The sequence below is a fragment of the Homo sapiens genome, chromosome 8, assembly GCF_000001405.40.
Source record: "Homo sapiens chromosome 8, GRCh38.p14 Primary Assembly".
NCBI lineage: Eukaryota > Metazoa > Chordata > Mammalia > Primates > Hominidae > Homo > Homo sapiens.
In genome coordinates this window covers 127578005-127594829 of record NC_000008.11, presented here as the reverse complement: position 1 = coordinate 127594829, position 16825 = coordinate 127578005, and the positions used below count along the sequence as shown (strand labels likewise).

Below are 16825 nucleotides of genomic sequence, written 5' to 3'. Positions count from 1 at the left end.
TGGACCTGACCCTGTAGGTGAAGGAGAAACTTCAAAGACAATGAAGGCCACTAGACTCTTGAAGACTGGGTTTGTTAATAACTTCCCTGGAGCATTTTCTGGCTTCTATCTTTCCTCTCCCGGGGTTAGGAAGCCGTGAACTTCTGTAATTCCATACTTATCTCCAAAGCTTCAACTCACTGTCCTCCTTAAACTTTCCTCTTCACATGTGCTGAGAGTGTCCTTCAACCTTCTCTGAACACAGAGATTTGTTCTTGTTCTCCTGGGGTCTGTGACCTCATTTTGCACAGAACCAAACTGTCAGCTGCCATTAAGATGCTTGCCCTCTTAAGACCACCTAGTAGGGCCTCTTCAGTGGCTTTCTAAGGACCATTGACCAGGTGTTAGCTATGCCTTAAGCCTTTGGCCAGACTATTGCTGAAAATCTTCAGGTGAAAGTCAAGCCAATAATTTCAGGGGACCTTGGTACCATGACAAAGGAAGCCCAGAGGCTTTATGAAGGCCTCATTGATTCTTCATGACCTTCATAACCACTTAGAATACACAAAACAAGACTTCTCTATGGGTACAAGAATCTCAAGCAGAAAGGGGGGCAGACTTCATCTGATGAAGAAGCTATTGAGTGCTCCATTAGCCTAGGCCTTGGGAGACCCACTGCTCAATTAATAGAAGGAGGGTTTTTTTGTGTTTTTTTCCAATGTCTTGGAAAACTGAATTTGAAACGCAAACAATTGCAAAGGTCAAAGGTGTAGCAGCTTCAGGCTAAATCTTAGTCCCTTTGTAGGTCTGCCTGTAAATGTTGAAGCTGAGAGGTTGACCTAGAAGGAGTCAAGGACTCTGAGCTGCAGTTAAGGAGGCTCAGGTGTCCTGACCACTGTAACCATGTTAGAGACAAGTGGAGTTCCAATGGACAGGTGGCACTCACAATTAAGGAATATTTAATAAACAAAGGAAGGGTCAGCTGGCTTCTAGGAAAAAGGTTTATTTTGATTTTTTCCTTGAGGCCATTGCATAGAGGTTGGGAGAAGGAAGGGCATGTACTGGTGGATAAGCACCTACATGGAGAAAAGGCACCTGCTTTCAATCTTGTTGTCATTTAATGGTAGAGGTCAGGCAAAAGATCCACTTGTCCCAGAGTTTTAACATAAATCTCTATCTGGACAGCCCCAGGGCTCTGCCTTAGCCTGGCGACATCAGTAGGTAACTTGTACTGCATGCTCACCATGTCCCAGGCAGCCGACTGAGAGATGTGCAGATGTTGTCTCAGTTCTGTTTTAGGGTAGTTTTTAAAATAAAAATCTCATTTTGCAAATGAAGAAACTAACACTCAGAGACGTTGAATGATATTTCAAGGCCACTTGACCAGTAAGTGGCAGCCAGGAGATCAGGGGTCATAAGTCACCCTACTCACTCCTGTAACCCTGCTCCTAGAATGATGTCTGGCATAAGTAGACATTCCAAAATATTTGTTAAGCAAAGGATTGAATCTGACTTCAGGGTCTGTGTCATCATGCTTCACTGCCTCAGGTCTAGCAAAGTCCTTCTGGGACTTAACTGTTTGGAAAAGTTGTGTGACTCTTCTTCAACTCCACTGAATAGTATGACATAGAAACAGTCGTACTGATGGGTACTTCTGGGTGGATGTGACGTGCCCCTAATCTAGAGAAGGACATTGAGATTTAGATAACGGTATCTGAAAGCAGCAGAGGTAGAAGCCAGCAGGCAGGTGGGGACCCAGGGCTATCATCTTGAATCTGTCAGTAAAGAACTCTGGGTGTTTGAGAAGTCATCTTCCCTCTTGAAGCTTGGTTTGCATGATCTGCTACATGATGTGTTTCTCTAGCTATCACTTTTTAAGAGCCAAGAGTCCAAGGAGCCTGCAGAATCTCTCCAGGAAACTAATCCATCTGTTTCTCTTCTGAACATTGTCCAGAGACCACAACACACGTTGCCTCCCATGTCCATGGCCATTTCTCAGCATATAGATGAAAACTTACATCCACACAAAAACTTGAACACAGATGTTTATAGCAGCTTTATTCACAATTTCCAAAACTTGGAAGATGTCCTTAAGTAGGTGAATGGATACATAAACTGTGGTCCATCCAGAAAATGCAATATTATTCAGCACTAAACATAAATGAGCTACAAACCATAAAAAGTCATGGAAGAACCTTCAGTGCATATTACCAAGTGAAACAATCCAATCTGAAAAGTCTACAAACTATATGATTCCAAACATATGACATTCTGGAAAAGGCAAAACTTATGGAGACAGTAAAAAATCAATGGTGTGCAGGGGTCAGGAGGGAGGGAGGTAGAGGACAGAAGATGTTTAGGGCAGTGAAACTTCTCTGTAGGATACTATAATGATGGATACATGTCAATATACATTTGTCCAAACCCATAAAATGTACAATACCAAGAGTGAACCCTAATGGGTTCTCGGTGATAATGGGCTCTGGGTGATAATGATGTGTCAATGTAGGTTCAATTGTAACACATGAAACAATCTGCTGGGGGATGCTGATAATGGGGGAAGCTGGGAATTTGTGGGGGCTGGGGGTATACGGGAAATCTCTGTACTTTCAGCCCAATTTTGCTATGAACCTAAAACTGCTCTAAAAATGTCTATTAAAAGAAAAAAAAGTACATAAACACCATTTGAGAAGACTAAAACACATTCACTTACACTTTATAGAGCTTCTTAAATTATTGCCATTATGTGTTTTCCCAATAAACTGATCCTATTAAAAAACAGTATAATTTTGAGGAAATTATCCTGGAAAGGGGTTTTCCTACCAGAAAATGTGTTGAATCACTCAAGTAGATGGTTCTGGTGCTTTCTCCCAGTTCTCCCCTTCTGAAGTATCACTGAAGGCCCTAAGGTTTCCGTAACTAAGGACGCTGTCAGGTGGTCTAACTAGGGTTGGGTCCCAGTAGAGTAAGCTTCATCTGCTCACCTCAGTTTTCTTAAGGGTGAAGGAGCCGGCATTTATGAGCAACTACAATGGGTCAGACACACATTTTATCTCTACTTCAAGGCTTTGCTTGTGTGGTTCTCTTAAAACCCTCTTTCCCACCTCGATTTATTGAATTCTGTTCACCCCTTGCTGTCCTGGGCTCAGATATCTCTTCTTTCCAAGGCCAGTGCACAATCCAGCCCACCTGCCCTCCTCCCTGAGGTCCTCCAGCTCTTGCTGATGTCAGCCCTTCCTTTTCTAAGGTATCAGAGAATTCACTGTTCCCAAGGGAACCCTAAGCCCCTCTGCCCACTTTGTAGATAAGCCCACTGAGGCAACTTGCCCTAACATGCCAGCTGCTTAGCTACCCAGCCAGGACCTATAAGGTCTCTGGGCACCATGAACCATGAATTTGTGCCCTCTCTCAAGTGAGTTTGTCAGCTCATGTAAAACAAGGAGACAAATAGATCTTACTTTTCCTGTATACTGTTTAGAACCATGACGGATTTTTGACATCTCTTTGAAGTGTGGATACGTGAAGATTAAAAGAGCAGCAGAGCAAAAATGCCATGGTGCCTCACTCTTTATATTCATGGAAGTATCTTTCTCTCTTTCCATTCCTCTTCTCTCCATTTTCTAAACCAGCGTTTCTGAACCTCAGTACTATTGATGTGTTGAGCCAGATAATTCTTTGCTTGCTAGACTGTTCTATGCATTGCAGGACACTTGGGAACATCCCTGGCCACTATCCACTGGATGCCTTCAGCACTCATCCCCCAAGTTGTAATAATCAGAAATGTCTCCAGAATTTGCCAAATGTCACCTGGGGAGCAAGATCGCCTCTGGTTGAGAACCACTGCTCTAACAGCTCCTAGAGCACCTACCCTGTGCCAGATAGTGCTGTAATTTCTGAGAAACCCCAGATCTTCTTCCACCCCCATTATAGGAAATCATGGCTTTGGAGAAGGCTGCTTACAGGAAACCATAAAGTGATTCTCTGTTTTCTCACCTTGGTTATGAAGATAACACAATCAGGTCACAGAGGCAGGGTTTTTGGAACTTCAAAGCTGAGCCGTAGGGAGTGGAGGGACAGGAGCTGGGTGCAGAGGTCTTATCGGTAGCTTGAATGTTCCCACCCTTATCAATCCAGAAGGAGGGACCCTAGGGGAGAACAAGTGGAGAGTCAAAAGGCCAGGCTGCTTGTGGCTTCCTACCTGTCTGTGGACTAAAAGGGACCAGGAAATAAGTAAGGACTGAAGAAAGGAATGCAAAGTAGGAGGAATGCTGAAGAGATAGTGGAATTTTGTGGGTGGGGAGTGTGAGTGTGGAGGGGGAAACTTCGCTGACTCTACATGAACTCATGCTGCCCTGGAGTGGACACCAGGGTTCTGGAACCACAGAATCTGAGAGCTAAGTCTTGGCATTAGATATGTGAGCATCACCTGGAAGTCACCAGGGCCTCAACTCTGGGGACATGAACTGGGTAGATGTGGCTTTGAAAATGTCTGTCATAGATCATGAAGGCCTGAACACAGGCAGCAGCAATTGGGATGGAGAAGTGAGATTCCTGATAGGACGAATTTACTGAAGGTGAGGGCAAACCATTTGCAGAGGTTTGAGGGAGTAGGAGAAATCGAAAATAATAATAATAAAACCCTTTATATTACTTATGATGTGCCAGACACTGTTTGATGCACTTTATATAAATATTAACTTATTCTATCTTTACAACAACTCAATACAGTAGGCACTATTGAAGTACTTGTTTTATAGGTGAGGAAAGTGAAGCACAGAGATATTTAATAACCAGCAGGTCACGGGGTAAATGAGAAGAACTGGAATCTGAAAACAGACAGCTCAGTTCTAGCACTTGTGCTTTTAATCACTGTGTTACAATCACTTAGCAAACAGAACTTGGGCAGCTAATTGGATAGTAATATCATTAACTCAGGTACGGCCTGAAGGAGGAATAGGTTTGAAGGGAAAACAATGGGTTCTGCATTGAAGATGTTATGTCTGGCCTGTGTGTGGGGGTACCCAGGAGCTGTTACCTGGAAGGTAGTGTAGCAGGTTAGCACTGAGCTCAGTACAGAGGTCTGGGTAGCTGAAGCCATGGATCTGGGTGTGTGGCTCAGGGAGCTATGTGCAGTAAGACAAGAGTACCAAGGAACTCTGGAGGTCGCCAACAACTAAAGAGAGATGGAAGAAGAACCAAGAAGAGAGAATGAAAAAAAAAAAAATCCATCAGTGTTGAGAGTAGGGCCCTGGAAATTAAAGGCGAGGTGAGTTTCAGGAAGAAGGGTAAGGTTACTAGGGACAAAGTTGTAAAGAAAGCCACTAAGATAAGACTTGAAAAGAGGTATTGTTCTTCAACGGTTTCAGGCATTTCTAATTTATTTTCCCAGCCAGAGGGGAAACTTCTTGAGGTCAAGTGTTACCTTCAGTGTTTCACTGGGTACCTCTTTGGGCTATCCTAGTTTTTAGTGCAATGCTAGGCATGCAGAAGGCATCCCCCAAATACCTGTGGGCTGACGGTCATTCAGGCTCCTGTTGGTTTTTCTTATTAAGACAATGTGACTTTATTTGTAAGTTTGTCTATACCAGTTTAGAAGGAGATATGATGTTCTGAGTCTTACACAACGTTGGATAGTCTATAACCGCTGTACTCGGCATTGGTGATGCAGATGGTTGGCAGATGCAGCATCATGGTCCTCTCTCCCTCAGGAATTGTGATATACATAAAGGCTATCATCATTGAGGACCTACTGTGAGTCTGGCTCTGTACTGTACATTTGATATTTGTAGCTCAGATTCTTACAACCTGGCAAGGTGGAACTTACTATCCTTTCTTTCCAGAACAAGTGACTGGGTTGAAAGATTGTTGCCTTGCATGGCCACATCATTAAGCAAAGGCACTGCCAAAGTAAAGATCCAGGTCCATCTGCCTCTAAAACCCTTGGACTCAACATGCCCCAAACTGAGCGCCCTCCCATCCCCTTAACTGCCACTGCTTTATTTCGGGAGTCACCACCATTTAGGAGAATTTTACCATAGCTTTTTATTTGTTGTTCACTCTTCTTTTTTTTTTTTTTTTTGAGATGGAGTCTCACACTGTCACCCAGGCTAGAGTGCAGTGGCCCCATCTCCACTCACTGCAACATCAGCCTCCCTGGTTCAAGTGATTCTCCTGCCTCAGCCCCCTGAGTAGCTGGGATTACAGGTGCCTGCCAACATGCCCAGCTAATTTTTTGTATTTTTAGTAGAGATGGGGTTTCACTATGTTGGTCAGGCTGGTCTTGAACTCCTGATCTCGTGATCTGCCCTCTTCGGTCTCCCAAAGTGCTGGGATTACAGGTGTGAGCCACTGTGCCTAGCCTGTTCTTCACTCTTCTATTGAACCTTTTCCTCAGAATGTGTCCTCCAGACTATAGCTGCAGTAATTAACCTAAGTGCAATTTTGATCACTTCTAAATTCCTTCAGTGGCTCTCTCTTTATGATAAAAGGGATATGACATTCTATCATATAAGCCAAAACCCCTTAGCCTACTCTACTAGGCTGTCATCAACTGACCCTTTTTGCTTCTCTAGGCCCTTTTTGGCTCACTCATTCTCCCCTCCAGCCAAAGCAACCTCCTTGAACTTCCTTGAAGATGCTCTACTCTTATTTTGCATATTCTATTCTCCAAGTTTCAATGCCCTTCCTCCCTTTTGTTCTGGGTTAATTTACACTTGTTCTTTAAAACTCACTTTACCCCCTCCTCTCAAAAGCATTCCCAGACATTCCTAAATCTTATTAAAAGACCTTCCTCTATTTTCCTCCTCTGAGTACCTTAACACCCTGGTTACAGATGCCTCTAACACTGTGCAGCACCCTTTCATTTCTTTTGTTTCTCGCACTTGATGCTGAGGCCTTTCAGGACAATGATTACATATGCTTCCAGTTCAGAGCAGGAGCTGAACCCCTGCCTGTTAAATAAGTGAATGAGTTTTGGGGGATGAACTGCATCAAGGTTGGAATGTGATAGAGGAAGGGAGGGTATCAGGAAGAGTAAGTAGGTGGAAGCGTTGGCCAGAGGGTAGGCATTGCCGTGAGGAGTTGGTATAATGTTTCTTCTACGTTTACTTCTTGCCGCCACTCCTAAAGGCATGGAGGATACCCCACCTCTGCTTCCAGACAGTGATAATCCTACTGGGACTGTCTGGGCCAAAGCCTTGCCTTGAGTCTCATCTTCGGAGTCCAGTTTTCTTTTGGCAAGACCAGGACAGGAAACACTTGCACATTGAAGTTCCCCTGCTATGGAATGTGTGTTGGGACATGACTGAGAGCCAGATGGAAAATGTCTCCGAAGTCCTAAGCCAGGCTGGAAAGATAGGTGGATGATAGTGAAGTCCATCCCTCTGTTTCAAAAATTGTTGGCAGTAAAAGTAATCCAGGATCATGCATCTGAAGTGTTGGAAAAGTTAGCAAGACTCGGGGGCTGAAAGGAGAGTAGCTGAGATGACGAGAAAGTGAGCTATCTCTTCTCCATTATCTCTGCCCTCCCATCTTCAAACTGAGGAAAGCATTTCTGTTCTAGTGGGAACATGATGCCTTTACTGAAAGGAATGCCTAATGATGGAATTTTCAGATGGTTAAACAATAAGGGAGACCTTCCGAGGGGTCATTTGGGCCCCTGAAGTCACACTGAAGGGATAGTATTAGCTTTTCCTGCTTATAAGTCCAGCCCTATGTCAGTGTGTGACACAATGACCAGGAATATTTGACAGAGTTACAGCTGGTGAAACATTTCCCCAGGTATCCTCAGATTTGATCCATACAACAACCTAGTGATGAGATTATCTCCTCCCCACTATCCCATTCTAAAGAAGAGGAAACTGAGGTTCACAGAGGTCAGGTGACCTGCCTGAGATCTTACAATCATTCATTCATTCTTTCATCCATCCTTTCATTGTTTATTAAGTACCAACATTGCTCCAGGCAAGATATTCCTACTGAGGATAGATACCATGTAAGACAGACAGCTCCCTGTCCTTAGGGAGCTTACATTCTACTTGGGGAAACAAAATAAACATATGAGTTACAAGTTGATAACAAGGAGACAAATAAGTAGACAAATAGCATGAGCCGTAAAGAAAATGAAGCCTTGGAAACTGGATAAAAAGTGCCCGACAATGTGGTGGTGGCGGGACGTATGTGCTATTTTGGAAAGGGTGATTGGGGAAAGCAGGTGGAGGAGACAAAGATAAAATTTTAAGGAAGACCTATTCTATGCTTCTTTTATTACCCCCTTCCTGCAGGGAGCTGCTGTAGGGACTTCCTTCTTCTCCCACACCTTTTTTACTTTTTTCTTCTAAGGAGCTCACAAGTACCTTTCTTAGAAATTGATATTTCCAGATGCATATTTCTCACGGCCTGTAAAGACAACCCTTGGACTCTTCCCAGGGACAGCTCGGAGATGGGGAAAATGCAAGTGCAAGCCCCACCCTGGCAGTGTGTCGGCAGCTGTCCTGGAAAATAAAAACACAGGCCGTTTACAGATTCAGGAAGCTGAAGTGTTTTATGGGCACAGTCATTAAATGTAAACACAGCCTTGTTTCTTGACAACATCTCCAGGAAGCCATTCACTGGGACAATAGAAGGCAGAGAGGAAACTTAACAGTCTTCAAATATTTGAAGGACTGTCATATGCAGGAGGACCAGGCTTGTTGGGGGCAGCTACAGGGAATTAAAGCAGAGCCAGTGGCAGGAGGCAAGAGGGAGGCAGGTGACAGCTTGGCACTGGGAAAAATTCTCTAATAATCTCAACTGGCCCACAGTGGAATAGAGTGGCCTTGAACGGGGGTGAGATGCCTCCCTCCATCACTAGGGGCATGCAGCAGATGTAGAAGGTTCACCTTCCTTAGTACAATGAATGATTTGCTGACAGATTCATTAATTTAACTAGTGCTCATGAAACATTTACTATGTACTAGACATAGATGCAGTAGTGAAAAAGACATGAAAGATCTCTGCTTGTTTTCTTTCTTTCTTTTTTTTTTTTTTTTTTTTTGAGACGGAGTCTCACTCTGTTGCCCAGGCTGGAGTGCAGTGGTGCAATTTTGGCTCACTGCAACCTCTGCCTCCCAGATTCAAGCAATTCTCTGCCTCAGCCTCCAGAGTAGCTGGGCTTACAGGCAGCCACCACCACGCCTGGCTAATTTTTGGATTTTTAGTAGAGTCAGGGTTTCACCATCTTGGCCAGGCTGGTCTTGAACTCCTGACCTCGTGATCCTCCTGCCTCGGACTCACAAGATGCCGGGATTACAGGTGTGAGCCACTGCACCCGGCCAAGATCTCTGCCTTCATGAAATTTCCATCCTAGTAGTGGAGACAGACAATAAATAAGTGAACAGACAGATACAAAGGTAATTGTAGCTAGTGATGGGTGCCATTGTCCCAATAAAAGGGAATGTAAAAGAATGACTGTATTGTGTGTGTGTGTGTGTGTGTGTTTTATGTGCGTGTGTGTGTAATAGATTGTGCTTTACTGGGTGGCTAGAGAAGGTATTTCTGAGACAATAACCTCTGAGGTGTGACCTGAGTGATCAGAAGGACCAGAAAGGACAAAGGCCTGGAGGTTGGAAGTAGCTTGGTGCACTCAGGAGCAGAGAGAAGCTCAGTGTGGCTGGTGTAGTGAGCAGAGGGACAGAGCACTAGGCAATGAGAGCAGGTAGGGACCAGATCCTACGGGTCCTTGTTGGTCCTGGTAAGGTGGCTGGGTATTATGTGAAGGGCATTGGAACCTACTATCCAATTGCATTGGAGAAGCTGTAGCAAGGAGATGATTTTTGGTTGGGAGGTTGGACTGGTTTCAACTCTGGCATCAGAATCACCTAGGGATCCACATTTGGGATCCAGTGGTCTAAGTGAACTCTAAAATTGCTTTCATGGTGAGGATTTGAGGTAGTGATATGAGCTTCCATATGAGATGATACATTTTGCTCAGGATATCTGAGAATGCATGGCCCACTGGAATTTTGCTAACGTATTATCTACAACCCAGTTCATTAGGGTGGGTGGGCTCTAAATAAGCTTAATTTACTTCAACAATTATTCAGTGGATTATCTTCTATGTGGCAGGCACTAAGTATGCACAAGGGGTAAAGTACCGTGCCTGGAAAACAACAGATACGCCATAAATATTGACTGAATGAATAAATGGATGAAAGTACCAGACATTCTGCTGGGAACCAGGGACAAAGAGATGAGGAAAAGATGTGTGAGAGACATTATAGATGACTCTGTCTTTATTAGCTCATGTGATATGGTTTGGCTGTGTCCCCAACCAAATGTCATCTTGAATTGTAGTTCCCATAATCCTCAAGTGTCATAGGAGGGATTCAGTGGGAGGTAATTGAATCTTGGGGACAGTTACCCCCATGCTGCTGTTCTCATGATAGTGAGTGAATTCTCACGAGATCTGATGGTTTTATAAGGGGCTTTTCCCCCTTTGCTTGGCATTTCTCTCTCCTGACATCACGTAAAGAAGAATGTGTTTGCTTCCCCTTCTGCCACCATTGTAAGTTTCCTGAGGCCTCCCCAGTTCTGTGAAACCGTGTCAATTAAATCTCTTTCTTTTATAAATTGCCCAGTCTTGGGCAGTTCTTTATAACAACGTGAGAATGGAATAATACATCGGGGAGGAGAATTGCAATAGCAGTGTTTGCAAACTGCTAATGGAAGGGTAAAAAGATGGAAAATGTAAGGGAAAGGCATATGTGTTTGAGTTTGGAAGAAGAATACCACAGGGTGTTCCTGCAAAAGGCAAAATGCAGAGACAATGCTGGGAGCATTTGTAAAATCTGAATTCTTCACTTCCAGTCTGTTGGGTTCTGGCTTCCGGTGTCACAGGGGAGTCTGCTTTTGATTTTATAGGGACAACAGAGAAAACATTGGCTGGTCAGGAACAGGAACTTTAAGGCTGCTCAGGAAGATCAAGCAGCTTGGACACATGGCCTTCTGGTTTTCTCCTTTGATCAGGGAAAACAGGGAGGATTCTGCCAAAAAGCTCACCAGAACTTTCACGTCTACCAGCTTTTGTAGCCTGCCAAATCTCTGTGTGCTGCAGTTTGTGTTAACCTAGTCAAATTACCATCAAGTAGCCCGAAGCCACAGCCAAATCGGCCTCACCGTTTTTCCTCACCCTAATTTAATCATCTGGGAGTGGATTTCTGGAATTGCCTCTAATCTAGCGAACACATATCTAAGACTCTAAACTAAACAATTAACCCTTTCCTGGGACCAACAAACCTTTGGTAGAAGGTACACTTTTGGTGTCTGCAATTTGATTTAAACTTTTTGTAACTTCTGGGAGGAGGGGAAGGAGAAGGAATTTGAGTCTTCCTTATTATGGTGCAGAGACTGCTAGATGTTAATATTCATGACTTCTGCACACCAGTTCTGTGAGATAAGTATTATTAACTCCATTCTAAGCACAGGAACACAGAGCTTCAGAAGGATTAAGGAACGTGGTCAGGGCCACACAGCTTAATAAGTGGCAAGATTTGATTCCAAGCCTATCACCAAGACCCAGGCTTTCCCCCATAAAACTCTTTCTGCTCCAGAACTGTTTAGTAAGCAATAGCTACATTTTATACATCTTGAAAATTTCCAGTGCTTAGAAATGGAGCAATGCCATTCTTGGGTGCTTATGCCCCAGGGTAGGCATTCTTTATCTTGGCTGCCCATTGGAAACAGAGTTGAGATGAGGATTAAAGAGGGATGAATTCATTTCCTAGAGTTGCCACCACAATATATAAAAATATATATAATAATTATTTAGAGCCTACCCACCCCATATTTTGATATAAAATATCTATCTATCTATCTATCTATCTATCTATCTATCTAAATCCCTGGGTCCCAATCCCCAGAAATTCTGATTTAACTGGATTTGGAAATGTAGCCTGGGCCTTTGATTGTTTTTTTTTTTTTTTTTTGGTCTCGCTCTGCCATCCAGGCTGGAGTTCAGTGGCTCAATAATAGCTCACTGCAGGCTTGAACTCCTGGGCTCAAGCTATACTTCTGCCTCTGCCTCCCAAAAGCTGGGACAAGAGATGCACAGCACCACACATGGCTAGTTTTTACTTCTTTTGTAGAGGTGGGATCTCACTATGTTGCCAAGGCTGGTCTTCAGTGATCCTCCAGCCTTGGCTTCTCAAAGTGCTAGGATTACAGGCATAAGCCACCATGCCTGGCTTTTTTTTTTTTTTTTTTTTTTTTTTTTTTTTTTTTGAGATGGAGTTTTGCTCTGTTGCCCAGTCTGGAGTGCGTTGGTATGATCCTGGCTCACTGCAACCTCCACCTCCTGGGTTCAAGCGATTCTCCTGCCTCAGCCTCCAGAGTAGCTGGGACTACAGGCACGTGCCACCATGCCTGGCTAATTTTTGTATTTTTAGTAGAGATGGGGATTCACCATGTTGGCCAGGATGGTCTAGGTCTCTTGACCTCATGATCTGCCCATCTCAGCCTCCCACAGTGCCAGGATTACAGGCGTGAGCCACTGCGCCCAGCCCTGTCTTTGCTTTTTATCAGCTCCCTAGTTGAGGATGAATGTGTGTTGTTCCCTCGGCTTCAACCAAGAGGGAGCAAGACCCAAATAAAAGGAATGAGTTGGAGAGAGCCACTGGGCTGCGGAGGGTCAGCTCTGTAGGGGCACCTGAAGAGTCCAGTGCATATAGTCCAACAGATCAAACAGGATTAAGATCCCAGAATCTCAGAATAGTGGGTGGGCGCAGAAATGGGGGGCTTCAGGTGGTTGGTAGTGTTGAGGGAGAAGAGCTGCATAATCCCAGTGAGAATTGAATTTGGACCGGGGTCGAGGGAATGGGAGAGACGAGAAAAGGCTCCAGCATCCTAAAAAAGGATGGAAGGCTGTGGCCTGGGAGGAGCCCCAGTGAGATGAAGATTTCAGTTAGACTCTGTCCTAGAGACATACAGGGATATGGCCACAGAATAATAAAGAAGACAATGATGACGATGATCATAAGAACATATCTGACATTCACTAAGTGCCAGAAAAGCACTTACCAGGATTATCTCTTCAACAGTGGGTTGAATTGAATGGTAGCTCCCCGCCCCCATCAAGAGATATGTTTATGTACTAATTCCTGAAAGAGTAAATGTGACCTAATTTAGAAATAGGATCTTTGCAGATGTAATTAAGGTAAAAATCTTTAGATAAGATTATCCTAGATTATCTGGCTAGGCCTTACATCCAATGATAAATGTGCTTATTAAGAGACAGGTAGACCAGCCTGGGTGAAAGAGACGGGTAGAAGGAGATTTGAGATAGAGAGAGAAGAGGAGAGGCCTTGTGCAGTTAGAGCAAAGATTGCAGCCATAAGCCAAAGAATGCCTGGAGTCACTAGAAGCTGGAAGAGGCCAGGAAGGATTCTCTCCTAGAGCTTCTAAAGAAAGCATGACCGTGCTATTACTTTGATTTCAGGTGTTTAGCCTCCAGAACTATGAGAGAATACATTTCTGTTGCTGTAAGCCACCTACTTGCTGGAAATTTGTGGTGGCAACTCTAGGAAACTAATTCATCCCTCTTTAATCCTCACCTCAACTCTGAGGCTGGCATTATTACTACTTCTATTTCATTGAGGAAGAAACTGAGACTCAGAGCTTTACAATGTTTTGCACAGAGGTTGCAGATTGTGGGTACAAGGTGTTAACTTATCTTCAGAGCTTAGGAACACTCCTACCATCTATAAGCTCCATAAAGGCAAGAACTGTCTACTGAATTTCTGCTAGAACCTGAGGACTACAGAGGAGCTCAGGGGTCCTGCCTTGCCCCCATGGTTTTTAAACTTCAGTGAAGTTTCAGGACACAGAATCAATGCACAAAATTTCAAGCCAACATAAAAGCCAGGACCAGCCTAGGACCAGGAAAAGCATGATGTGCTTTCATTCATTCAGTGCCAAAAAAGATTCATTTTTTAAAAATTGAGATTAAATTTACATGACATAAAATCAACCATTTTAAAACGAATAATTCATGGCATTTAGTACACCCACAATGTTGTGCAACTACCACTTCTATCTAGAACATTTTCATTACCCCAAAGGAGATCCTGTCCCCATTAAGCAGTGCCTTCTAGTCTCCTTCTCCCATTCCCTGTGGTGTTCTCCCCAGTCTGGATTTGCCATCTGGACATTTTATAAAAATGAAAAAATACAATATGTAATCCTCTGTGATTGGTTTCTTCAGCTTAACATCATGTTCCTGGGATCCCTCCATGTTGTGACATATATCAGGACTTCATTCCTTTTTCTTGCTGAATATTCTACCATGTGTGTACACCACAATTTTTCATCTGTTGATGGACAGTTGGGTCACCTTTTGACTGCTGTGAATAATGCTGCTATGAACACTATCATACAAGGTTTTGTGTGCACAAATGTTTTTATTTACCTTGGGTATATACTTAGGGATGAACTTACTGGATCACATGATAACTTCTAATGAGGAACTGCCAAACTTTTTCACAGTGGCTGAATATTTTTCAACCACATGAATTGAGTCCTTGCAACATCCCAGGCATTATGTTTTAAGTTTTGATTGAATGAAATCCTTGAAACCAGTCTATGAGGGACGTACTATGTTCCCCATTTTACAGATGAAGAAACTGAACTTAAAAGAAATGGAATAACTTTTCCCAAGATTATGCTTGTGAGGAGCAAGAATGCAAACCTAAGTTTGTCAAGCCCAAAGTTTGTGCTCTGGGTCACAATGTCCTATTGCCCCTTGCTGTTCTCACTGGTGTCAAAACACATTGAGGAAAAGGAGAGTGTGAAAGGTTGCCTTTGTATATTCCATAGTGCCCAGCACAGGGTTGTATATTGAGTACGTTTTCAGTAAATACTTGCTGAAGAGGGCTAAGAATCTATTTGATGAGTATAACAGTATCCACACTACTTTTTTTTTTTTTTTTTTTTTGAGACTGAGTCTTACTCTGTCACCCAGGCTGGAGTGCAATGGCACAATCTTGGCTCACTTTAACCTCCACCTCCCAGGTTCAAGTGATTCTCCTGCTTCAGCCTCCCGAGTAGCTGGGATTACAGGCATGTGCCACCACGCCCAGCTAATTTTTGTATTTTTAGTAGAGACATGGTTTCACCATATTGTCCAGGCTGGTCTCGAACTCCTGACCTTGTGATCTGCCTGTCTCGGCCTCCCAAAGTTCTGGGATTACAGGTGTGAGCCACCGCGCCCGGCCTCCACGCTACTTTTTACCTCTTTAATACTTTAATACATTTGTGACAATCTTAACATAAAACAGGATTTAGCTAAACTCTCACATATGGCTACAAATATGCTCTGCTGGAAAGACTTTATAATGTTAGCCAGTAATGTTTAGGCAATTTAGCAGCATTGTGGGACTCCCTATCATACATACAACCCTGTTGGAAATTTGGGTTGAGGACTCACCTTCAAAGTACTTTAAAATGTTGAAGCGGCTGGGCGCGGTGGCTCACGCCTGTAATCCCAGCACTTTGGGAGGCCGAGGCAGGCGGATCACGAGGTCAGGAGATGGAGACCATCCTGGTTAACACGGTGAAACCCCGTCTCTACTAAAAATACAAAAAAATTAGCCGGGCTTGGTGGCGGGCGCCTGTAGTTCCAGCTGCTCGGGAGGCTGAGGCAGGAGAATGGTGTGAATCCGGGAGACGGAGCTTGCAGTGAGCCGAGATCATGCCACTGCACTCCAGACTGGGCGACAGAGCGAGACTCCATCTCAAAAAAAAAAAAAAAAAAAAAAAAAAAAAAAAAAAAAATGTTGAAGCTGCAGGTGTGGTTGAGATTCCCAAGAGACAGAGCAGAGAGAAAATGAAGGCCGTTAGTTTTTGGCAGAAAAACTGGGAGACATGCATGTTTGGAAATTCCTGGTGAAACAGGAACTTGCTGAGAAGACACGATCTGAGAGGTGGGAGGAGAATCAAGCTCGCGCTCCATCCCCGAATACAAAGAAAGGGAGATGGCCTCCAGTGACAAATGCTGCTGAGAGTCAGAAGAAAAACATAGAGCACAGCTTCACTTAAGTGGGCCTGATGAGTTCATACATGGATCAGAAAGGCTCACCTTGTTCCTAAAATGCAAATCTGTCGTATCATTTCCCTGCCTGAAAATCTTCAGTGGTCCACAGCTGCCTTCAGGATAAAGCCCATGAGGCTTGCTCAGCCTGTTTCTGCTGCCTTCTCCAGCTGCATTGCTCCTAACTCTTCCCAGGTGTATGGCATTCCCAGTTGTTTGTTTCTTTTGTTTGTTTATTTGTTTTTTGAGACAGAGTCTTGCCCTGTTGCTCAGGCTGGAGTGCAGTGGTGTAATTGTTGCTCACTGTAGCCTAAAACTCCTGGGCTCAAGTAATCCTCTGGCCTCAGCTTCCTGAGTAGCTGGGACTACAGACATGCACCATCACACCTGGCTGTTTGTGGTCTTCTTAATGCTTTCTTCTCAGCCATGCCTCTGTGCCTTTGTCTGTTTTCTCAGCTGGTAATGTCTTCTTCATCCTGTTCACTCAATGAGGTCCCAGCCAGCTCCAGCCTTTACTTCTGGATAAAGTCCTCACCGACCCCTGTTCTTGCCCCCAAAGTAGTTCTGACCTCTTACTCCACCATCTCTAGTTGGACCACAAGCAAACCTTCTTTAAAACCTTCATCTCTGTATGCAGCAATTGCTTATTTACAGGCTGTGTCTGTTGGTAGACTGTGAGCTTCAAGAAGGTACAGCCCATGTCTCATTGCCTTTTGTCTCCTCTGCTCCCAGGTTTGCAATCACTCCTTGATGAATGAATGAGTGAAAGAACGAGTGAATGAATGA

At 43.9% G+C, this 16825-nt stretch overlaps 1 annotated feature.

The window, feature by feature from the left end:
• Nucleotides 16345-16394: a silencer, noted in NCBI's record as "silent region_19528". NCBI's record gives its function as "represses an Ori minimal core promoter by ATAC-STARR-seq in GM12878 lymphoblastoid cells {active_cell/tissue: GM12878}" and the evidence as "EXISTENCE:reporter gene assay evidence [ECO:0000049][PMID:35858748]".